Raw genomic sequence first — 24,874 nt, 5'->3', positions numbered from 1 at the left:
GCTGGTCTCGAGCTCCTGACCTCAGGTGATCTGCCTCCCTCAGCCTCCCAAAGTGCTGGGATTACAGGCTTGAACCACCGCACCTGGCCCATTTTGCCTAATTTTAACTGTGCTTTTTATACGAAGTTATTCCCTCCCTTTCACCCCAATTAGCCCTACTGAGTAGTGCCTATACCTGGCCTGGGGACTCAGTACTACTTGTTAGAAACTATCTTCCTCTACTCCTTAACCTTCTTGCAGATACTTGGGTTGCTGACGGTATCTCCCATCCCATCTCTCCAGAAGTTGTGAAGCCAGATGACCAGCTAGAAATGGGATTGGTATCCTGAATGATATGGAGATATTTTTTGGTTGGTCCTTCATTACATCTTAAAATATGCTTTAAAAAAGGAAGAATTTAAAAGCAATTTACAAAAGTTTCTGACAATACATATACAAACATCTTTATTGACAAGTGAGCCAATAAGGGCACATTTAGTTTACAGATAACCAAAAACATTTGAAATGCATAACATTAAAATTTCCAAGATTCATGTTGCAGTACAAACATGTGGCAGGTTAAACATCAGGCATAAAAAGGACAAATACTGAAACGCAAAGGGCCAGAGATCCCAAGTCGCTTAACACTATTTAAAATGTTATTCAACTGCAAACTTCAGCCTCTGGAACCATCCCAGATAGCTACTGGTTAAGTGATATGAAGTAGGAAAAAAGAAGGTTCTGGAAGGTCTCAAGGAGGCTGTGCAGAAAACAGCACCAGATGGAAGCAAGAGCAGAAAGAAGTCACGTCCCATCTTTATGACAAGACACAGAACAAGATGGTCACAGTTCTTCATGGGTAAACAAAAGATGTGGAAGACACAGCCAACCTTAAGTAACTTCTACTGACGGATGCTCTGGCACTTCTCTATGTAGAGAAGGAGAGAGAAAGAGAGCACCAAGCAGGAGTGGGGGACTCTATATTTATTGTCTGCCAGTTCTTTTATATGCATTGTCTTATTTAATCCTTATGACAACCTCATGAGAAGCCAATGATTTATTCCCTTTGTTGAAACCTAATACAGATAAAGAAACTGAGACTCAGAGTAGGGAGTTTTTCCAAGGTCACATGACTGCTTAGTGGGGATGGCAGAATTCAAACTCAACTTTGGAAAGCCCATGTTGGTCTTCTTTCCTTAGTCAAATTTTGGCTCTCAAATGAATTCCTCTTCACTCAAGAATTTGGCAAGTTTCAATAACTTGAATTCTCCTAACAATATATAGTAACATCCTAGAGGTAGGAGTATTTTGATGCAGCATTTCCCATCTCTTTTATTTTTCTGTCCCCAATTATCTCTCAGTACTTTTCCATTCCACCTAGTTTCTCTGACTGGTTTAAACCCTTTATCTGACTTGATGAATGCTCTGGAACAGGGGCCAAGAAAATATTTTCTGTAAAGAGCCAAACAGTAAATATTTTAGGCTTTCAGGGACATACAACCTACTATGGGCTATATCCCCATCAAAGTCATATAATGAAACTTAACTGACGGTATTACGAAATGGGGCCTTTTGGAGGTGATTAGGTCGTGAGGGTGGAGCTCTCATGAATGGGATTAGTGCCCTTATAAGGGGCTGAAGATACCAGAGCTCTCCCCTTCTACCATGTGAAGACACAGTGAAAGGTGCTTTCTATTAACCAAGAAGCAGACCTTCCCTAGACCCTAAATATGTTGACACCTTGATCTTGGACTTCCCAGCCTCCAAAACTGTGAGAAGTAAGTTTCTGTTGCTTATAAGCTGCTCTGTTTGTGATATTAAAGCCCAGAGGCACAACCTCCGCTGCAGCTACTCAGTTCTGACACTGGACACAAAGGCAGTCAAGGACAACATGTAAATGAGTAAGTGTGGCTGAGTTCCAATAAAATTTTCTTCTGAGAAACAGGTGGTGGGCCAGAGTTGGTCCATGAGTCCAGGCCACAGTTTGTCAATTCCTGCTCTAAACCATTAGTACTAAATACTAAGATGATAAAAGAGGTGAGTTCCTTTTCCTGTGTTTTCTTTTCTTTCTTTTTTTTTTTTTTTTTGAGTAATGATACAGTTTAGATCTGTATCCCCACCCAAATCTCATGTTTAATTGTAATCCCCAATGTGGGAGGTGGGGCCTGGTGCAAGGTGACTGGACCACGCAGGTAGTTTCTCATGAATGATTTAGCACTGTCCCCCTACTGCTGTCTCGTGATAGAGTTCTCATGAGATTTGGTTGCATAAAAAGTGTGTAGCACCTCCCCTCTCTCTTTTCCTCTTGCTCTAGCCCTGTGAAGATACCTGCTCTGGCTTTGCCTTTTGCCATGAGTAAAAGCTCCCTGAGACCTCCCCAGTCATACTTCCTGTACAGCCCATGGAACCATGAGCCAATTAAACCTTTTTTCTTTATAAGTTACCCAGTCTCAGGCATTTCTTTATAGCAGTGTGAGATTGAACCGATACAGACAACAATAACAAAAAGTAGATAAATATGAAGGCCAGAGAAATGGCAACTTCTTCACGAAGGGAAGCTGCTTATCCTCAAGCAAGTCAGTTGAGGACTATCCTGTGAGCTATTTTCCGTGCCTTGTTTTCCACTCATACAGGGAAGTATGCCCTGGTGTCTCACAGTTGCTTCAGTTCTTCTTTACTGGGACCCTAAATATAATAACACACTGAACCACTCAACTTCTCAGACCTTCAATATCCCTGGGGCTTTTTCTCAAATGGACACAGCATAGCTTTCAGAAAGCTGAATAATGTAGACAAAAGAAGTCTCCCTCACCCTTTGATTATGGAAAACCAAAGATTTATTCAGTGCCAAGGATAAGAAAGGAAGGACTTGATCAACAACCACTGTTAAGATTTTGACCCATTCACTACTTCACGTGAACTCCCAGGGAAATGGAAAATGAAAGAAGGTCTCCGCGGTAGAGGGATAACAATGACATAAATCAATGATGATGCCAGGCATGGTGGCTCATGCCTGTAATCCCAGCACTTTGGGAGGCCGAGGCAGGCAGATCACGAGGTCAGGAGATCAAGACCATCCTGGCTAACATGGTGAAACCCCATCTCTACTAAAAATACAAAAAAAATTAGCCAGGCGTACTGGCAGGTGCCTGTAGTCCCAGCTACTTGGGAGGCTGAGACAAGAGAATGGCATGAACCTGGGAGGTGGAGGTTGCAGTGAGCCGAGATCGCGCCACTGCACTCCAGCCCGGGCAACAGAGCAAGACTCTGTCTCAAAAAAAAAAAAAAAAAAAAATCAATGATGTACATAATCCATGTGAACGTAACTTAGAGTTGTCTGTAAATATTATACATCCCAGTTATGGTCATCAACATAGACAGCAGCTTGTTGAGGGAGGAAGGGAATTCTAAGGACTTTGAACCCAGCATTTTTGGTTTTTAAGGCTAATATAAAAGAAATTACACTCTAGATGAATTATACCATATGTGTATCTAGATCTCAAGGAGTAATAAATAACAACATTGTGTCTTCCTGATGATAAGGATGTAAGCCCTCAGCCTAACCTACCCAATAAGAATTTCCTTACAAAGTGAGAGGCTTACAACAAAGCTCTGACATAAACAAGAGAGGGGAAAACTGGATTTCACAATGTTCGTACTGCTACCTACTCTCAGGGACTTCTTGAATTTCCACAGATAGCTATTTGGGACGTTGGAGATTAAAATTTTGAAATCGCTGGCTAGATTTCATAATTATCAAATTAACGGACATAAAGAACCTGCTTATGGCTCAAAACTATGTATTACGCAAATGAAATTAGATGCATACAGAATTGGTCCTCACATGCATATTATGGATGCGCCTTCCACCTAAACACTCAAGTATTTAATACAGTGATAAAACCAACTTACATTTCTTCACATTCAGTAATTTTTCAGGGTTGCTCTTCAGTGTGAACTCTTTGATGTCTGATGAGAGATGAACTGCACTTAAAGCTTTTCCCACACTCATTACATCTAAAGGGTTTCTCTCCGGTATGAGTTCTCTGATGTTGAATGAGAGCTGATGAATGAATGAAGGCTTTTCCACACTCGCTACATTTGTACGGTTTCTTTCCAATATGAATTCTTTGATGTTTAGCAAAATTGGAGCTCCGGCTGAAGGTTTTCCCACATTCATTACACTCATAGGGTTTCTCTCCAGTGTGAATTCTCTGATGTTGAACAAGATGTGTGCTCTGACTAAAAGTTTTTCCACATTCACTGCATTCATATGGCTTTTCTCCAGTATGAACTCTCTGATGCTTAGTTAGGGATGAGCAATGGCTAAAGGCTTTCCCACATTCTTGACATTTATAAGGTTTCTCTCCAGTATGAGTTCTTTGATGTTTAATGAGTGCTGATGAATGAATAAAAGCTTTATCACATTCATTACATTCATAAGGCTTCACTCCAGTATGAATCAACTGATGCTGCACAAGATGTGTACTTCGATTAAAACCTTTCCCACATTCATTGCATTCATAAGGTCTCTCTCCAACGTGAATTCTCTGATGTGTTGCAAGGGATGAGCTTTCTGTGAAGGTTTTCTTGCATTCACTGCATTCAAAGAGAATTCTAGTATGAGTTCTCTGGTGTTTAGTTAAATTAGCTCTGTGGCTAAAAGATTTCCCACATTCATTGCAGGTATAGGGTTTCTCTCCAGTATGGACTCTCTGGTGTCGAATAAGCACTGAATGGTAGGTGAAGAGTTCACCACAATCATTACATTTATGAGGTTTTTTCTCTTTATAAGTTCTCTGCTTTTTCATTAAGTTTGATTTTTGTTTCAAGCTTTTTTCAAGTGTATGGAAGGCATAAGATCCTTTGGGAACTCTGTCTTCAGTGATAAGGACAGATTTCTGATTGAAGCTTTTCCAGTATACATCATGCTTATGGTCTGTTTCCTCAGAGAGTGAATTCATGTGAGTGAACATTTCTCTCAAATGTCTCTCCTGATTTCCTTGCTGATTCTCTAACCAATTTTCACATTCAAGGGCTGCTTCCAAGTTAGAGTCATAGACACTATTCCGTGTCAGTCTGTCTATTATTGCAACTTTGCATGATTCTGCTTTGGAAAAATCTTGCACTGAAGTTGAATCCTTGCTCTGTGGTCTAGTCTCCATGTCTGAAAGACATTGGAAATGCAAATTTCCTTCGTTTTCTGTGCTCAACAAAAAGGCAGTTCTGTAATAGGTAAGAGTTAATGAAAGTGAAAAGCATGCCTTCAAGGAGCAAGTGGATTTGACTCTTTCAGATGATTTGCAAAGAGAAACAAATGGAGGGAAACAAATGCTCAGACTATGCAGAGAAAATAAGTACATCCTATCCAGGAGAGTCGGAAGAGGAGAAAGATGACAAAAAATATAAGAGTAGAGATGCCAATGAAGCAATATATCCACAGATGAGCAGACAATGAGTACACAGATCAGGATGGGAAGAAATAACTTTTTATAGAATACCTACTTATTGTAATAAATTTCTAGGCACATAACCATCTTAATGTACAGTACAGTTATGGCTTCTAAATTTTCACTATTCCAATCCTACTCACATCCAAATATGTATTCCATTGCCAGTTTAATCTTCCTAACAATGCTTTTATAACATTTTGCTGATCAAAAACCTCCTATGATCTCCCAAAGGCATAATGACAAATATATGAAATGATATATGCATAAGGCTATTTGTTGAAGCACTAATTCAGGTAGCAAAAGACTGATAACATTTCACATATCCTACTATACAGAAATGATTGAACATATAGTGGATACAAACAATGGAGTACTATCCATCTCCTGAAAAAATAACAAAGATCTTTACATATTGCTATAAGGTGACCACCAGGATATATTAAGTTTAAAAGGAAAAAGCAAGCTATAAATAAGCACACACAGTTTGCTACTTTTTTATAAAGAAAAAAAAGGGGTACAAATACCTATACTGTTTGCTTACATTTAAAAAAAAATAAAAAAAGGATAAATGGAAAACCAATAAAAATTTGTACCTATAGGGAAAACATCAGAACATGGGAGAGAGGGCAGAGATGGAAGCTTAACCTCTCTAAATATATCTAATATAAATATAGTAGAATTTTTATATCCAATATAAAGCTAATTTATATAGAGAAAATATTTTAAGCACTGTAGTTCAAAGAAATAAACAGGAGTAAAATAGAAGAGCAAATACAGAAATAAAGTATATGTAAGAATTAAAGATAATATGAAGGTGGTATTTCAGTCAGTGAACAAAACATAGATTTGTTTTTCCAATGATGCCATGGCAACTGATTAACTATTAGAAGAAAATTAAGTTAGATGAGTCACTCATTTCATACACTCAAATAAATTATATTCATTCATCTATCTATTCATCTTCTATCCATTTTTTTCAACAAATATTTATAGAATATCCTCCATGTGCTAGGCTCTGAACTAGTCACTGGGAAAAAACAGTCACTATACATATAGAGGAAGAGAAAATTTAATCTAACATTCACGAGCAAAATCTGAATTGCAGTTTTGCCACTTACTAGCTGTGTGATACTGGATAAGTTATTTAACCTCTTTACTTCGGTTTCCTTATGTGTAAGAGAGGGCAATAACAGTATCCATCTTGCAAGGAATGATAGCAATAGCTACCTTAATGAGCATTAATGCAAATATCTATGAAGCATTTAAAACTCTGACACAGCATAAGTGCTACATTAAGTGCTTGTTAAATAAATAAAACATAAATTGACATAAGGCTTGTATAGGTAGGTAGAGGTAAAGATCCTCAAGTATGGTCCATGAATCCCTGGGAAACTATAAGTTCAAAACTGCTTCCAAAATAACATTTAGATGTTATTTGCCTTTTTCATTGTCTCAACATTTTCCATGATGTTGTAAAAGTAATGGTAAAATTGCTTACAACTTCGCACAAATCAACACAATGATACTAAACTTACTAGTAGTCCTTGTATTCTTCCCCATCATGTACTCTTGGTTTAAAAAAAAAAAAAAAGCCAGTTTTATTCAAAAATGTCTAAGGAAGCATAAACATTAATTTCATTGAATTTTAATCCTTGAAGTGCCTTTTTAATATTCAGGGTTAATGAAATAGGAAATATTCGTAAAGCAATTCTGTTTATACCAAAGAACAATGGTCATCTTGAGGAAATATACCATGCAATCATTTGAGTTGTGAGCTGAACCAGCCACTTGTTTCACAGACCACCATTTTACCTGAAAGGATGACTGAATGGCAAACTATGTTATCTAACTTGGGTATCTGGCAGACAGTTTCTCAAAAATGAACAAAGTGAACCTGTCATATCAAGGACAACAAATGAGTTTTTTATAAAATTTGAGCTTTCAGGCAGAAATTACAAGTTTTGGAAAACTTCTATTTACCACCGAGAGCTTGATGGCTTCCTAAAACTTAAAGGCTTTTCTGATAAGGTCAGTTGTGATACTAAAAGTTATAATATTCAAAAATATTGCACAATATAAAGTGTCAACAAAGAAGATCTGCACTTAGTGAACCAATATTGTCCAAAAGATTGATAGATTTCAATATATGAAAAATTTATGGATGTGGTTTCAGATTCTACATTGTACCTAATCTTTCAGAAAGTATCACTTGTTCAGTTTTGGAGCTGTTTCAAAGAAGAATAGCCATAATTACCTGAAAAGACTATAAAATACTCCTTCCTTTTCCAACTTGTATCTGTGTGATGCTGGATTTTCTCCATGCATGGCAACCAAAACAACATGTCATATCAAGTTGCATTCAGAAGCAGTTGTAAGAATATAGCTACCTTCTATAATGTCATACATTAAAGAGATTGGCAAAAGTGTAAAACAATGCCATACTTCTTAATAACATTTTTTGGTTAAAGAAAATAGATGTTTTTTAACAAAAAAATATACTGTGCTAACACGACATGTTTATAATTTTTTATTTCTATTTTTCTTTTAAGAGATGGGGTCTCACTTTATTGCTCAGGCTGGTCTCTAACTCCTGGGCTCAATCAACCCACCCACCTTGGCCTCCCAAGGCACTGGGATTACAAGTGTGGACCACCACACCCGGCCAATTATTTTTAAATGAATTAGCTAATAGCTTAAAATTTTTCTGTTTTAACTTGTAGTATAGTAACTATTGGTAGATGTAACCTACATAAATCAAACATCTTTAGGGTCTTTAACAATTTTTATAGTTACAGTAGGTCCTCTGATGCCAAAGCATTCAGAACTGCTACACTAGAGCACAGAGATGGAAGAAGAGTAGCTGTGAAATGAGGTTGGGATAATGAGTAAAAGCCAGATTTCACAAGATTTTGTAGACCTCCAGGATTTTGTCTGTTACCGTGAAGGCAGCGAGAAGCCATTCAAATGTTCCAAGCAGAGTGATGACAAGATGAGATTTGATTATGAAAATATCAGTCTCACTACAATGTTGAGAATGAAGTATATGAGGGCAAAGGCGGAATCACAAAGATTATCACAGTAATCCAGGAAAACAAAAAATATATGAAGGAAAATTAACAGTGAAGAAATACTTAGAATATAATTAGGTAAATACAGTGATTAATTGGATAAAGGAGAGAGGGGGTGATGTAAAGACTGTGCGTAGATTTCCACCACGTACAATTTGATGACAGTAAGTACCATTAAAACAATTACTGGAAAAGGATGCTGTTGGGGAGATGGGAAATTTAGACTTATTTTAGACATTCAGTTTTAAACATGTTGTATTGAAGTATCTTTGACATAAGCAAACAAAGGAATCAAATAGTTAAGATGTTGAGAACAGCCCTGAGGAGAGCTCTAGGATGGAAATACCAATTTGGGACTCATCTTGATAGAAGGTAACTGGTTGTGGGAATGATGAGACTAATGAAGTAGTAAGTAGAGGCTGCAAACAGTTGATCAGTTGGCCAAATCAGACCTTAGACACATTTTCTCTGGGCCACACTTTTTATACAAACTTTTAAAACTAGTTATACACAGTTAAAAATAGGGAGATTATTGCTGGACGCAGTGGCTCACGCCTGTAATCCCAGCACTTTGGGAGGCCAAGGAGGGCGGATCATGAGGTCAGGAGACTGAGATCATCCCGGCTAACACGGTGAAACCCCATCTCTACTAAAAATACAAAAAAATTAGCCGGGTGTGGTGGCGGGCACCTGTAGTCCCAGCTACTCAGGAGGCCGAGGCAGGAGAATGGCGTGAACCCAGGAGGCAGAGCTTGCAGTGAGCCAAGATCGCACCACTGCACTCCAGCCTGGGCAATAGAGCGAGACTCCATCTCAAAAAAAAAAAAAAAAGCCGGGGGGGGGGCAGATTACAGATAAATGCAAATTTAGAGTTTCTCTCTTGAAAAAAACTGGAAGCGTACTGAACAACAACCACCATTTAGAGCAGGGATTGGCAACTACAGCCTGCTGCCTACTTTGCTAAATAATTTTTTACTGGAACATACCCATTCATGTATGCATTTTCTAGGGCTGCTTTCATACTACTGTGGAAGATCGAATGGCTGCAGAGACACCATGTCCCACAAAGGGTAATTATTTATTGTCTAGCCATTTACATAAAAAGCTTGCCAGCCCTTGAGCTAGAGCCACTCCTTTCAGTTGAGGCCTGTACTCCTCTGGTTCACCAGTTTCCACCTTGCTTGCTTAACTCAGTGTTATTACCTCCTGGCCCATGTAAGTACTCAAGTTTATGACTCCAGGTATACAAAAGGAAGGGAGATTAAAATCAAATTTTGAGTAATTAGAATATTTAATTGTTCAAAAAAGAAGGCTAAGAAGATACACTCAGAGAAGTAAGAAGCAATTCCAAATGGATTAAGAATCTAAAGAAAAAATTAAAGAATATACTAGTAAACAGAGGCAAATATATATGTAACCTTGGATTAATGAAACACATTTTAAGCAGCACTGAAAAGGCAGAAAAAAAAAGATTATAAAAAATTAAACTTGAGGGCCGGGCGCAGTGGCTCACGCCTGTAATCCCAGCACTTTGGGAGGCCTAGGCGGGCGGATCATGAGGTCAGGAGATCGAGACCACCCTGGCTAACACGGTGAAACCTCATCTCTACTAAAAATAAAAAAAAATTAGCCGGGTTTGGTGGCGTATGCCTGTAATCCCAGCTACTCGGGAGGCTGAGGCAGGAGAATTGCTTGAACCTAGGAGGTGGAGGCCGCAGTGAGCCAAGATCGTGCCACTGCACTCCAGCCTGAGAGACAGAGCAAGACTCCGTCAAAAAAAAAAAAAATTAAACTTGTACATCAAAATGCATAGCAAAACTGAAAGTCAAAAACTAGAAAAAATATCTGTAACATAAGAAAAGGTAAAAACCTCATATATAAGGACCTCTTAACAGATCACTATGAAAACTGCAATACCCCAAAAAAGGGAGATGGGTGGTGAGTGGGTAAGTCACAGAAACTAATAGGTCTCTGGGGTGAAACAGATATATCCATAATCACGGAAAGATTTTTAAACTCTTTCAATATTCAAAAGTATAACTTTTTTAAAAATAATAATATCCAGGAAGGATTTTCTTTATGAGCTATATATAATACTAAGTATAGTAAATAAAACAGTCTGGTATTAGACATAGACAGACAAGTAAACCAGAGAGACAAGAAATAGAACTAAGTATGCTGAGGAACTGGGTTTACCACAGGTAGCATTACAAATCAGTAACATAAGATTATTCCATGAACAATGCTGGACTTATTGGCTTTCAGCATGGAAAAAGACAAAATTAGTTTTCCCATTTCATCATATACAAAAATAAATACCTGTAAAACAAAATTGAACATTTTGGAATAAAATAATCTTTCTGACACTGGGATAAAGTAGATAGACAATTCACAAAAAGCACTATTTAAAAAAAAAGTTTGTTATTAAAAATGTTTAATTCTATATGCCTAACACACCAGAAAATAAAATAAGCCAAAGATTAGAAGAACCAATTTCTTCTCACTGACTTGCAATGCTACTTCTGTCATAGATTAGTACCTAAAATATATGAAGAACTCCACCAAATCAAGAGAAAAGATATAAACAGCCCAATCTCAAAAAACAGGCAAAGGGTATCAACAGGTAACTCACAAGAAACTTGAATAGCCAAGTAACATGAAATGCTCAAACTTGTATTTATCACTCAGAGAAATGAAAATTTTAAAACATCATTTTGCATCCGTCAGATTGACAAAAATTAACAAGTCTGATAACTCAACTGTTGGCAGTTCCTAGTAAAGCTAAACATGTGATGATTTAAGACCTACTAATTCTTCTTCCAGTTATCTCCCTAAACCAGCTCTCAAGATGAACATAAGGAATCAAAAAAAGGATGATCACTGCAACTGCTAACAGAAAAAAAATAAACTGTTCAGTTTATTCATACAGTGGACTTATGACTCCACAGTAGTTAAAATGAATAACATAATTCATATATATTAACATAGATTAATATCGAAATACAATGTGAACTTTAAGAAATCAGACTACATAAGAAAAAGTGTAACAATAAAACATACAGATTGTTTTACATACATATGTATATATCTCTGTGTATACACACACATACAAAAACACCGAAATGATTCACACCAATTTCAAGATATAATGGTTACTTCTAGGGGAGAAAGAGAATAAAAGGGTTTCTTTTCTTTGCTTTTTGTTTTTTTTTTGAGACACAGTCTCCCTCTGTCACCCAGGCTGGAGTGCAATGGCATGATCTCGGCTCACTGCAACCTCTGCCTCCTGGGTTCAAGCAATTCTCCTGCCTCAGCCTCCCAAGTAGCTAGGATTACAGGTGCCTGTCACCATGCCCGGCTAATTTTTTTGTATTTGTAGTAGAGACGGGGTTTCACCATGTTGGCCAGGCTGGTCTCAAATTTCTGACCTCAGGTGATCCACCCACCTTGGCCTCCCGAAGTGCTGGGATTACAGGCGTGAGTCACCACACCCAGCTGAGAATAAAAGGGCTTTAACTGAATATGTAATATTTTTATTTCTTAAAAAATAAAAGACATCACACACCTCAAAAGGATGGCTAAAATGAAAACAAGCAATATTAAGTGTTGACAAGCATGTGGAACAACTAGAACGCACATACTCTGCTGCTAGGAATGTAATTGGTACAATGACTCTAGAAACCTCTTTGGCACTATCTACCAAAAGTGAGTATGTATCTATCCTCTGATAAAACAAGTCTACTTGTATGTATATATCCAGAAGAAATGCATATATTTGTTCACCAAAAGGCATTTAAAAAGTGTACATAGTGGCATTATTCAGACAGCTAAAAACTGGAAACTATCCAAATACTCATCTTCAGAAGAATAAACTGGGTATATTAACAAAACAAAAAATTATACAATGATAATGAATAAATTATGATGATATGCAGCAACAAAGATGTATCTCACAGCTAATGTGCAGTGAAGGAAGCCAGACACAAGAGTATATACAATATGATTCCATTTATAGAAAGTTCAAGAACCGTCAAAACTTGGTGCTATAAGTTAGGATAAGGTGACCCTTGGGAGAAGGGAGGGTCCTGAAACAGGGCACACCGGTGCTTCTAGAGGCGCTGGTAAGGCTATTTTCTTGATTTGGGCAATCGTTACATGAATGTGCTAAATTAGTGAAAATTCATCCAACTGTATAATTATTAGTTTTATATTGTAAGAAAAAGAAAGGAAGAAAGAAAAGAGGCAAACGAAGCAAAATATTAGTACGTGTCTAATCTCAGTGATGGATACATGAATGTTATTTTATTTTCTGGACTTCTGTATATATTTTAAATGCTTTAGAATTTTAAAAAAATTTAAAAATAAGGGCACACAGGCACTTTCTTAAGCACTGAAAAGTATTTCTTCATTGTCCTGCTGGGCTATCATTTATGAAGACTCCCATCTATCTGGCTCACCTGAATAGCTGCTTTTGGGGGCTTTTCTCTCAAGCTTCAATGGTTCTTTTCCATTCTCCAAGTTGTAGCTCTCAGGTTTGGAAACTGGAAGCCCTATTCATTTAAAAAAAGAAAAAGACAGAAAGAAGAAAGTAATGGGAGTAAGTTATTTGTGGAAGTTTTCTTCAAGCCAGTTGAATTGTTACATATTCCTTAGTGAATTCCAACTTTCTTTCTTTTTTTTTAATTTATAAAAATTTACTTTTTATTTTTTATTTTTAAAGTTAATGGGATCTCACTATATTGCCCAGGCAGGTCTCGAACTCCGGGGCTCAAGCTATCCTCCCACCTCTGCCTCCCTAAGTGCTGGGATTACAGGTGTGAGCCACCACGACCAACTTTCATGGCCACCGTCCTGCTGGACTTAGTTATTTGTAATGGGTATAAAGATCTAAACCGGAATATGGTCTCAACCTCTTGATCTACAAAGTATTACAGGAAGAGCTGAAGTAAGGGAGGGTGGACCTCTAAATGAAGCTTAAATATCTGCAGCAAGAGTCTGGGCCTGGTAAGGAGTTCAATTGGATTTGGAAAATACAAATATTTTCAACTGTCAGAAAAGAAAGGAATTTCTCTTTATTTCCTTATTGTGTGAGGAAACTTCAGAGAGATGTTGCAAATTAGTCCTTACCTCAGGAAAGGAGGAAAAAGCGGGACCTCAATGGCAGCACCACATAACTGTAACGGTGGTAACTGAAGTTTTATCTTCTAATGTTTTTCCTTTCCTTCTTCAGTTATTAGAAGTCACTTTCTTTTTTAATTTTTTTTTTTTTTTTAGACAGAGTCTTACAAAAAGGCTGGAGTGCAGTGGCGCAATCTCGGCTCACTGCAAGCTCCGCCTCCCGGGGTCATGCCATTCTCCTGCCTCAGCCTCCCGAGTAGCTGGGACTACAGGCGCCCGCCACCGCACCCGGCTAATTTTTTGTGTTTTTAGTAGAGATGGGGTTTCACCGTGTTAGCCAGGATGGTCTCGATCTCCTGACCTCGTGATCCACCCGCCTCGGCCTCCCAAAGTGCTGGGATTACAGGCGTGAGCCACCGCGCCCGGCCTCAGAAGTCACTTTCTTAGGGGATTTTTTTACATAAGGTTTGGGAGGGGCTAACAGTCCCCTCCACCCCTCATACAATCATATGCATGCATGTGTGTATGCGTGCATGCTAGTAAGCCCAGGATCTAAAACTGGCCACAGAGTACTCAATCTCGCTGGCTCTAGAGATTGTTTCACTGATGGGCCTGTGACCTTATTTGCTGAAACTCCCAGGAAAGAAGCATTTTCTTTTTTAGCTTTGCTATCTAACTGGAAGAATAACGTAACCCTGGGACTGCCACTGGCCATCTTTGCCACATGGGGAAATCCTAGGAATAAAGCTAATACAGAGCAAAACCAAGCTAATTGATTAAAAATAAATCAATGAATAAAGGAAATTCTTGATAATATATTTGGATCTCTGAAAAATCAAAATTTTTTTCCCCTTTAAGAGTGTGAGTTAAGTTTCTGTCACTTAAACCCAAAGAATACTGATACAAAACAAGCACAGACATTTCATCAAGAATCTAGAGCAAAAACAGATTTTCTACACAGGCCAAAAAGAATTAACACTTTTTGACTCCTGAATGCAAAGGTGAAGGCTTTGTTAAGCTATTTCACTTTCATTAAAGTAATGATGCTCCTATAAGCAGATTCCAGAATCACAATCCATTCTTACAAAGTGAGACTAGGTTCCTATAGTTCTCCAGCATCACATCCCTTTGTGCAGGATCCAGCTTCCCCCACTCCTCTGGTGTAAAGTCCATGGCCACATCCTTGAATGTCACTGTTTCCTAAAACATAAAATATTTTTTTCAACATCTTTCCCTTAATTACTTCTCTTTCATCCCCCAGTTTCTGCTGGCCCTGGAGCAAAAGCCTGAGATGCACTTAAGAGGGGAACTGACTATGATAAATGACAAGTATTCTAATGGTCGTCAGATTCGGAGTATTTTATGTAAAGGGTAACTATCAATTATGTACCAGGCATATTATGCTAGATTCAATATGAGAACCAAAAGATGACCCTGGTTTCTCCATTGAGAGACTACAATTTTTCTGGGGAATAAAGTATTAAAATATGAACCAATAAGTCAACAATGTAGTTTGATTAAAGTAAAATATCAGCAGAGGGAAAAAAAGTCACGTCTACATAATGCTTCTCTGAGTCCTCAATAAAAAATTGAAGAGTCAATCTAGCCAATCACAAGACGAACTGCAATACAGAACTTGTAAATGGAGAAGTCACGGAAAGAAAAGACAGCAAAAAACCAATCCAGTTAAACATGAATTAATTCAAGGCAAAGAGCATTAAATTGGAAAATGGCTCCAATTTATGAGATACAATTCATAAATATTTAGGTATAAAATATCGTAAGATTATACTTCTATAAGACAAAAAATACAAAAACCATAAGGAGATAGATACATATCTGCATTGAACATGCACCTTTAAGTAAACCCATAGACAACAGGAATAATATTTCAAGGTTACTGAAATAAATATGAATCAAATGCTCTAACTGGATGGAAAACACCTACTGTTTAAACATTCATGTAGCATTTGCAAAAAGTAACAAAGTAAATTTCAATACATTCCAAAAATAGAACGGAATAATTTATAATAACTGAGAAAATATATCAAAATATGAAAATAATGAAATAAAATAGGAAAAAAAATGCCACATGGCTAAAACTGTACTCAGAGGAAATTTTGTAGCTTTAAACACTTCCATTTCATTTTTTTAAAATGTAAATAAATGACCAGAGCACAAAAATCAAGTTAGAACAAAAAACAAAGGAAAAGAGAAATATTTACAATATAAAAGCAGAAATTTTAAAAAGAGAAAAATAAGACAGCTGGAAAAATCTGAATAAGGTCAGTAGGTTATAGTATTATGCCAATGTGAATGTCCTGATTTTGAAAAAATAATAATAAAGCAAAGTAAAATATAAATTTTTGCAAAATCTGGGTGAAGCATATACAAGTTCTTTGTGCTATTTGCAACACTTCTTATGTCTAAAATTATCTCAAAGTAAAGCTACTATGCGGAAAATAATCTAAGATTTAAGAAATAAGAGAATTAAGTGCTGCCGGGCACCGGGGAGGCAGGTTGGTGTACGCTGTGCGCGGCGGACGTCAGAGGCAGCGGGGAGCGGAGCGGGGCCGCCGGGGCCTCTCCAGGGCCGCAGCGGCAGCAGTTGGGCCCCCGCCCCGGCCGGCGGACCGAAGAACGCAGGAAGGGGGCCGGGGGGACCCGCCCCCGGCCGGCCGCAGCCATGAACTCCAACGTGGAGAAACTGCCCCCGCACATCATCCGCCTGGTGTACAAGGAGGTGACGACACTGACCGCAGACCCACCCGATGGCATCAAGGTCTTTCCCAACGAGGAGGACCTCACCGACCTCCAGGTCACCATCGAGGGCCCTGAAGGGACCCCATATGCTGGAGGTCTGTTCCGCATGAAACTCCTGCTGGGGAAGGACTTCCCTGCCTCCCCACCCAAGGGCTACTTCCTGACCAAGATCTTCCACCCGAACGTGGGCGCCAATGGCGAGATCTGCGTCAACGTGCTCAAGAGGGACTGGACGGCTGAGCTGGGCATCCGACACGTACTGCTGACCATCAGGTGCCTGCTGATCCACCCTAACCCCGAGTCTGCACTCAACGAGGAGGCGGGCCGCCTGCTCTTGGAGAACTCCGAGGAGTATGCGGCTCGGGCCCGTCTGCTCACAGAGATCCACGGGGGCGCCGGCGGGCCCAGCGGCAGGGCCGAAGCCGGGCGGGCCCTGGCCAGTGGCACTGCAGCTTCCTCCACCGACCCTGGGGCCCCAGGGGGCCTGGGAGGGGCTGAGGGTCCCATGGCCAAGAAGCATGCTGGCGAGCGCGATAAGAAGCTGGCGGCCAAGAAAAAGACGGACAAGAAGCGGGCGCTGCGGCGGCTGTAGTGGGCTCTCTTCCTCCTTCCACCGTGACCCCAACCTCTCCTGTCCCCTCCCTCCAACTCTGTCTCTAAGTTATTTAAATTATGGCTGGGGTCGGGGAGGGTACAGGGGGCACTGGGACCTGGATTTGTTTTTCTAAATAAAGTTGGAAAAGCAAAAAAAAAAAAATAATAATAATAATAAGAGAATTATTCCCTTAAGATAAAATAATATGTAAAAATCACTAAGTAGCCCCTAAGTAGAAAAGACATTATGAGGAAAAATGAACCTTAGCCTAGAATCTGCATATACATAACTAAATCCACATTCAGTGGAGATTAAGTGCCCAAAAATTAGAAGAAAAAGCCAGAACAACAAAAATGCAAACCATTGCACAAACAGCAGGAAAACTACAAAAGAGGAAACAATAAAGCACAGGAAACAGAATTATAAAAATCACATGGCAATAAAAGTTTGAAACACATGTATTATATGTGAATGAGCAAATTTCCCTTATAAAAAGGTTTTTTTAAAAAGCCACATCCTATATACAGAATAGGCCATCCAAACAAAATATTATTGCTGGGTTGGGTACTGGTAGGTAGATGGAAGGAAATATAGTATACCATATGTCTGAATACAGTAGTGCAAGTACAACAAAAAATGTGAAAAAATATACATAGTAGAGAGAGGCAGGGACTGAATTTGAGGGGGAAGTAGCATTACCTTTACATTTCTGTATGTCTGTGTTGTTCACTTTATTACATTGAAGAACTAAAACTTTTAATATTTTTAAAAATCTAACAAATCAAAGGTAAAAAATAGCCCAGGCAAATTCTAACAAGAAAAAAAGCTCCAATATTGCATTTTTAAAATCTAATAAAATGCACAAAGAACAAAGAGAGTTTTAAAAATTTTCCATAATAGGTTCAATCACCTTGATGCTGTTAACAGTGTTGAATCTGATATCAAAGTATTGAAATATATATTCACGCTTCTGGTACCAGTGCCCTAATTTTCCCCTAGCTACTATGCCTGGCCACTTTGAATCTGTGTAGCTCAGGTAGTACTGACGCCATCTCTGATTCATGGGTGGGATGTTTGTGCGTGCACGCGCATGTGTATGTGCGTGTGTGTGTAGGTATATTCTATAAAGAATTACACTTAAATTTGGCCAATATCTCATCCAGGAATGGGCCTAATACCCCATTAGAGTCAATCCCAGCACTTCTGCAAGAATGACTAGAAGAGAATCTGCCCTTTTTCTCTGGCCTTCAACACAGGAAGATGTAAGCCTAAACTCGTTAGAGGCCAACACTAGGAGAAAAACTTGTTTGGCCATAAAACCCATGGAGAGAAAAGGTCAGTAAAATGAAGAATTAGGTTTTAACATTCTTGTTTGAGCCCTATATGTAGCCAGACCTAGATTTTTCAGTTTGTTAGTCAATAGTTACTTCTTTTCACTTAGACCCATTTGAATTGACTTTATCAGCTGCAACTTAAAGCTTCTTGACTAATAAAGTCTTCAAGACTAATGTAAGACAGTTGAGAAGCCAATGGAGACAGGCAAGTACATAAAGGAAGTGACTTTTACAAACACTATGAACGTGCAGTATCTACTTTTTACACCTTGGATTACAGAAGCAAAGAGAAAGGCTGATTGAGGAATCTCTGGGTTGTGGTATGCCACACACATCATGGAAAGCTCCTTTTTTCCTCCTCAACTTCTTTTTTTTTTTTTTTTTGAGACAGTTTCACTCTCACCCAGGCTGGAGTGCAGTAGCCCTATCTGGGCTCACTGCAACCTCTGCCTCCTGGGTTCAAGTGATTCTCATGCCTCAGTCTCCGGAGTAGCTGGGATTACAAGTGCGCACCACCAAGCCCAGCTAATTTTTGTATTTTAAGTAAAGACGAGGTTTCACCATGTTGGTCAGGCTGGTCTTGAACTCCTGACCTCAGGTGATCTGCCCGCCTCAGCCTCTCAAAGTGCTGGGATTACAGGCATGAGCCACCGTGCCCAGCCCTAACTTCTTTTAATAAAAGTTTCAAACATACAAAAGTTGAAAGATGAATGCAATAATCACTGATATAGTACAATCACCGCCTAAATTCAAAAATTCTTTTTTTTTTTTTTTGAGACAGAGTTTCCCTCATTGCCCAGGCTGGAATGCAGTGGTGCGATCTCGGATTACTGCAACCTCCACCTCCTAGGTTCAAGTGATTCTCCTGCCCCAGCCTCCAGACTAGCTGGGACTACAGGTGCGTGCCACCATGCCTGGCTAATTTTTTGTGTTTTTAGTAGAGACGGGGTTTCACCGTGTTAGCAAGGATGGTCTCAATCTCCTCACCTAGTCATCTACCTGCCTTGGCCTCCCAAAGTGCTGGAATTACAGGCATGAGCCACCACGCCCAGCCAAACATTCGTAATATTTGTCATATTTACCTTTTGGGAGAGAGGGGCCAACAATATAAAAGTAAGTTGCAGACATGATCATACCTTAGCTTTCATCATCTCAGAGGGCTGGATTCTAACTGTAACTCTTTAAATTACGCCTTCATAGGCTTTCCTTTTCCAGTATTTCTTTGAACTATGTGAGTATTTATTATTTTTACAATCACTTCAGCATTTAAGTGCTTTCTTAGATTGCCACTTAAGGTCACATACATGCTGTTTCCTCTAGAGAAACAAGTTTTAAGAGGTATGTACCACATTATATTTAAAATAGTTTCTCACATTACCAAGCACAGAAATGAGCATAGGAGGCTAAGAAAGGGAAATGCTGCTTACCTATCTGTTGAGGGACAATAAACACTAAATAGGGAAGAAATCCATCCAGTGTTATAAGTAGAAAACATTTTCTTCTGAGTCCATTAGTCTCCTGACTAGTCTCTTAGATTTAGAACTCAGCTCTGCAGATGGGCTTTAGTGGATAAAGAAACTCCACATCACAAAGAAGGGAGTGCATCTGTACTCTAAGAAACAAGGTGTAATTCCAATAATCAGCACTCACTCACCTGGGATCTGGCCGTGAGGCGCAGAGCAGCCACTTCTCCCTCTTCTGTGCTCTTCTCTTGGAAATGGGGAGAATCCTGGGAAGACAGAGCTAACGACAAGAAAGCAGTAATGATGAGACCTAGGCTTAACGTGCCACTCAGATTTAAAGTCTAAAAACCACTTCAACATACTATATGTGCTGCCTACAAACACTGAGACTGAAGGTACCCCCAAAACAACCGACCTCCTCCCAGGACCCTCTTCCCGGGATATGCGGGAATATTGCTACTCTGGGCTCGAATTCAGTTGCTATAATCATAACACATTCTGTAAGATGGCATCCTCTGATCTAGAAATTAGAATATGTCAGTAAATTTCCCAGTTTAATCTATACTCGTTGGTTCTCACTCTGAAAGCTTATTTATAATGTAGATTGCTGGACCCCACCTCAAAGTAATAAGCATTAGTTGAGCCTGGGGTACAATCCAGAAATCTAACAACCACCCCAGGGGGAATTCTGGTGTAGGAGGTCACAGCACAACCTTCATGAAACTGGTCAGGTAGAATGGAAGTCAGTCATTAACTACTACGCCTGTTTTCTCCTATGTAAAACAAAACATTTTTGACAACCAAAGAGGTGAATTCTTGCCATAGAAGTTAACATTTCACTCACATTTTGGGGGTAGCTTTGAAGGGTCCACTGTGTGCCCAGCTGCCATGGAAAGGGCGGTGCTCCCATACCAAGCCCTTCAGTCTCACTTAAAAAGCCCATCCATCCCCAAGACAATGGAGACAGCCAGCCAAGAGCCACCTCCCCTGAGCCAACCGTTTTCCCTTCAGGAGCAGGAATTTCGTCCTTCCACGCTACAAGTTCAACACGTCCGCAATTCTCACCTCCTTTCTCAGGCATTTCAGCCAAATCTGTCTCCATGATCACCACCTCCTCCTTGTTCTGGAGATTCTGCTCTTCACCCCAATTCAGATCTCCCTGGCCAGACGAGTTAGAAGCCCCCCGGGCCTCGTGGTCCCACTTCCTGCCTTCCCTCCTGGGCTCTGATGAAAGGCCTGGGTTAGATCGGGTCTCTTTCTCACCGTGGAGTCTGCCTCAGTCCTACGGCGCTGGAGCCTGGAAGCCCGGGGACAGCATCCCTGAGGCTGGGTCCTCAGATGTCTGTCCCTACCGCTTGAAGCTGTCCCTGGGGGAACCGGGCACCTGGAAGAGGTGACGCTGGGGCATCAGGAGTTTGGACAAATTCTGCCGCGCTCGGGGCACTGGCCCAGAACCCCGCGACCACCCCGCCCGTGGCACAACCGCGTCCCCCGAGGAGAGGATCAGGCCAGAGTGAGAAGGGACAGGGCTCATGGTCTGCCCTCGAGGCCCCTTTAACAAACGCGCACTCTAGCCCCGACTCGGCACAGAACGACCCGGGGAACCACCGCCGAGGCCGAGCCGAGACGAGCGACATCACCACAAGCAACTCACCTCCCATCCCGGGCCTCACAAAGGGGACGAACTTCTTTGGCCAGCTCGGAGTCGCGCATGCGTAAGAAGGAGCGGAGCCAGGCGTGCTGCCCTCATCCCGCCCGGAACTACAATTCCCAGAAGCGCCTTGGCATCGCCAGACTCCGGTTCTCCGCAGGTGGGAGCACCCGTGGTGCGGCTGGGAGAATCGGACGATCGAAGAGCTCCGTCCGTCTCGCGAGAGTATGAGGCAGCATCTCCTGTGTCTAATCCTCAGAGCAAGGGAGGGAGGGAGCAGCGGAGACGCGGACCGGAGTCAGGGTCCGTCCCCGCGCTTTGTCTGCACAAGTTCCTGCGGCACAGTGCTTAGGGCTGCTGAGTTCAACCCAAATTACTCCGGTGTAAGATACGTTAAAATACATAGCTTTTATCCATATTTTGTGCGCCCAGAACTCATCCTTTTGCTTTCAAAACATACGAAGGATGTTTTTAGGAAGAGCAGGTCCCTCTTTGTACACTCAGTCAGATGTTCCTGTATCCACAGACTACTTGTAATCCTAAAATTCATGTATTTAAAATGAGTTGAAAAGATTGAACCTGTTGTAACAAATTTAAGCAATAGGTTCTTTGCAGACATAAGCATTAGTTTAAACATATCATAAAAGGTGGTTCTTTCAAGGGAGAGTTATTCAGTCTCTCCAATTCTGTTAGAGGACTAACCCATCCACCTCCAGCTTCGTGTCTAGACTGCCCTCCTTTTCTCAGTGAATGACATTACTGCCCACTCACTCATTTGCACAAACCAGAGCCTGAATATTCTTAACTCTTTGATCTCACCATCTATTTATCACCAAGTCCTATTCATTGTATCTTAAATAACTCAATTGTTTCCATCTTTCTCTATTCTCAGTAGCATTACCTTAGTTGGGGCCACCACCATTTCACTAGGATTGCCGTTGCAGCCTGGTAACTGGATTCCCTAACTAAGGTTTTCTCTACCACCAATCTGTTCTCCACACTTTCTGGCTAGTGCTCTTTCTAAAACAAGAATATGCTATTACTTTAGTGCTTCAAACCGTTCAGTGGCTTTTAGAAACTTCAAGGAAAGATGATTTCCAGCTCCCAGAAGGGATTTGTAACTCCCATTATCTCAGCCACCTGGTAGTTACACCTTTGTGCAATCCCCTCTTGTGTATGGACTGGGACTTGCTTCTAACCAATACAGTGCAATAAAGGTGACATAAAAGTCTAACGTGTGTCTTGCTAGGAGACTCCTCTCTTGCTGGCTTTGATGAAGTGGTGGTGATGTTGGGGAGGCCCATATGACAAGGAACTGAGGATGGCCTCCAGCCAATAGCCTGCAAGAACCGAAGGCCCTTGGTCCCACAACCTGCAAGGAGCTGAACCCTTTGGACAGCTCTGTGTGCTTGGAAGTGAATCATTGTTTGTAGAGTCTTCCCATGAGAACCCTGTCTTGCCTGACATCTTGATAGCTGGCTGCAAAGGACTCACTTAAGCTGTGCTCAGACTCTCACCCATAGAAACTATGAGATAATAAACATGTGCTATTTTGGACCACTGAGTATGTGGTCATATTGTTATGCAGGAAAATTTAACTAATTCCACTTTCTAACATAAAACAGGATCTTCTTTGTCAAAATCCAATCTGGGAATTGTCTGGAAGAGGGAAATTGTTGGATTGAGCAACTATTGAAAAGTTTATTTGAAACCCACAGGAAGACAAATGGCTACAGTCGGTCCTAGGAGGTGTGTGGCCTGTACACATACTTTTAAAAAGCTATCCTAAGAATGATAAAGGAGGAGACAGGAAATATCAAGCAAGAACTTGTCATAAAAATAAAAACAACGAAACTGTGTGTCAAAATATGATGGTTAATACTAGATTGGATAGCAGAATGTGTAAAATTGAAAAGTGAATATCTACAATATTCTAGTGAAGCTACAATATCAGGCTAGGGAACTCTACACTTCCAGAAGATACCAGGAAGGGAGAAAAAGTTGAAAAATACGAAAGAAATATTAAGCAGTATGGAAGCTGACTAGACTTTATGAGAATCCATAAGGAAAGAAAAACAGAGAGGAGGAACTATTTTAAGAAATAATCAAGAATTATGGAAAAATAAAAAATTAAAGACTTCATATTGAAATTATTGATAGAGAGTCAAACAAAATTATGAAAAGACACCACATATTACGGTGAAATCTAACGAAGAAATTCTAAAGCCTACCAGAAACAAAACATAGATCACCTACAAAAGAAAACAATCACAATTAAAAAAAAAATCCTCAGTGTTAAAAACAGTGCCTGGAATAGTACCAGGTAGTGCCAGATCTCCATCAGCCTGGACAGTGGGAACTAACTGGTGCATTCCCCACACTTACCTTCCAGTGGGTTGCTGTTGAGAGAACCTGAAAAAACCTAAACCTCAGCCGGGTGCAGTGGCTCATGCCTGTAATCCCAGCACTTTGGGAGGCTGAGGCGGGCGGATCACAAGGTCAGGAGATCGAGACCATCCTGGCTAACACGGTGAAACCCCGTCTCTACTAAAAATACAAAATATTAGCCGGGTGTGGTGGCAGGCGCCTGTAGTCCCAGCTACTCAGGAGGCTGAGGCAGGAGAGTGGCGTGAACCTGGGAGGTAGAGCTTGCAGTGAGCTGAGATCGCGCCACTGCACTCCAGCCTGGGGACAGAGTGAGACCCCGTCTCAAAAAAAAAAACAAAAAAAAAACCCTACACCTCTACAGCAGGTCGAATTCATGACCTGAAGCTGAATACTTCCAGCATATTTTTCCCAGTAGATAGGAATAAAGTATCTTTGCAGTGCTCTGTTCCCTCCGTCTCCCTAAACATCTGACACCCTAAAAGCCATCCAGCAGCTATGGACCCTGAGCGACACGTTGATTTGTGTTGTCACCTGACCAAGCCTAAAGACCTCCAGCTCAGTCCCCGACCTTCATCCCACCCCCCAGATGATAAAATTCAGACCTCTCTCCTGAAAGGCAGAGGTTAAACATTCAGGACTGTTTCTGGCCGAGGACTTCTTCCAATTAAAACCCCCACCGTGGGCTGTCTCCCCTCATTTCATTTTTCTAAAGGGGCAGAGGCCTCTTTTAGAAAATAATAAAATTCAATGTGTGTGATTTACTTTTCTGATCTCTTTGAGAAATACAGGAATATAAAAGTATGTTCTTAATTCCAGAACACTCTTTTTGCATAAATACCTCATTGGGCAGCTTTCTAAGTGTGATTTTCCTGAGTCTCCCTTCGTTGGATCTGCCGGAAGACGAGTCAGGGAACCTTTAGTGAGGGTACTTCTTCCTATTTTTCTTCTGTTTTTGGAGGCATACACATTATGCATAACCAAAACAATGGCTCAATTGTGTTTAACTTTGTATTTTGATTGTTGAGAAGAAAAAAAGGTATCGACGTGAAAAAAAAAACAGTG

The 24,874-nt window shown here is 40.4% G+C and overlaps 1 protein-coding gene, 1 long non-coding RNA gene and 1 pseudogene across 15 annotated transcripts in view, besides 3 other annotated features; 1 reads left to right on the top strand and 2 right to left on the bottom strand.

Annotated features, from left to right (window-relative positions):
* Positions 1 to 21,453, bottom strand: part of ZNF286A-TBC1D26 (ZNF286A-TBC1D26 readthrough (NMD candidate)) — a 46,414-nt gene extending 24,961 nt beyond the window's left edge. The window contains exons 1-6 of the long non-coding RNA NR_171000.1: positions 21,428 to 21,453; positions 20,839 to 21,157; positions 19,965 to 20,053; positions 14,704 to 14,818; positions 12,958 to 13,050; positions 3,892 to 5,146 (exon numbers count right to left, since the gene is read on the bottom strand). This is a non-coding gene — a long non-coding RNA (ZNF286A-TBC1D26 readthrough (NMD candidate)). The remainder of the gene's footprint in view (positions 1 to 3,891; positions 5,147 to 12,957; positions 13,051 to 14,703; positions 14,819 to 19,964; positions 20,054 to 20,838; positions 21,158 to 21,427) is intronic.
* On the bottom strand, positions 418 to 21,453 carry ZNF286A (zinc finger protein 286A). Of its 14 annotated transcripts, none has more exons than NM_001288645.2 (6): positions 21,428 to 21,453; positions 20,839 to 21,157; positions 19,965 to 20,053; positions 14,704 to 14,818; positions 12,958 to 13,050; positions 418 to 5,205 (listed from the first exon to the last, which is right to left on the bottom strand). In NM_001288645.2, the coding sequence occupies exon 6, from the start codon at positions 5,142 to 5,144 to the stop codon at positions 3,915 to 3,917; it is 1,230 nt and encodes a 409-aa protein (NP_001275574.1). In that variant the 5' UTR covers positions 5,145 to 5,205; positions 12,958 to 13,050; positions 14,704 to 14,818; positions 19,965 to 20,053; positions 20,839 to 21,157; positions 21,428 to 21,453; the 3' UTR covers positions 418 to 3,914. The 14 variants fall into 14 exon arrangements, with proteins under 14 accessions (NP_001275574.1, NP_065703.1, NP_001356365.1 ...); NM_020652.3 differs by having other exon boundaries at positions 418 to 5,146; NM_001369436.1 differs by having other exon boundaries at positions 21,037 to 21,157.
* On the top strand, positions 16,112 to 17,126 carry UBE2SP1 (ubiquitin conjugating enzyme E2 S pseudogene 1; annotated as a pseudogene).
* Positions 21,145 to 21,756: an enhancer, noted in NCBI's record as "H3K27ac hESC enhancer chr17:15602763-15603374 (GRCh37/hg19 assembly coordinates)". NCBI's record gives its function as "activates a minimal SCP1, AML or CMV promoter by ChIP-STARR-seq in naive and primed H9 embryonic stem cells {active_cell/tissue: H9 hESC(naive and primed)}" and the evidence as "EXISTENCE:reporter gene assay evidence [ECO:0000049][PMID:30033119]".
* Positions 21,330 to 21,649: an enhancer, noted in NCBI's record as "active region_11745". NCBI's record gives its function as "activates an Ori minimal core promoter by ATAC-STARR-seq in GM12878 lymphoblastoid cells {active_cell/tissue: GM12878}" and the evidence as "EXISTENCE:reporter gene assay evidence [ECO:0000049][PMID:35858748]".
* Positions 21,660 to 21,709: an enhancer, noted in NCBI's record as "active region_11744". NCBI's record gives its function as "activates an Ori minimal core promoter by ATAC-STARR-seq in GM12878 lymphoblastoid cells {active_cell/tissue: GM12878}" and the evidence as "EXISTENCE:reporter gene assay evidence [ECO:0000049][PMID:35858748]".

This window comes from Homo sapiens, chromosome 17 (genome assembly GCF_000001405.40).
Source record: "Homo sapiens chromosome 17, GRCh38.p14 Primary Assembly".
NCBI lineage: Eukaryota > Metazoa > Chordata > Mammalia > Primates > Hominidae > Homo > Homo sapiens.
The sequence above is the reverse complement of the archived record's forward strand: the minus strand, read 5'-3'. Positions and strand labels throughout refer to the sequence as shown.

Excerpts from the sequence above, each read along its gene's own strand:
- ZNF286A (NM_001288642.2), bottom strand. Across the intron at positions 20,054-20,838 it reads TGAAATGCCTGAGAAAGGAG|CTCTGTCTTCCCAGGATTCT; the intron begins GTGAGAATTGCG and ends TCTTGTCGTTAG. Across the intron at positions 13,051-14,703 it reads TAGGAACCTAGTCTCACTTT|GGCTTCCAGTTTCCAAACCT; the intron begins GTAAGAATGGAT and ends TTAAATGAATAG.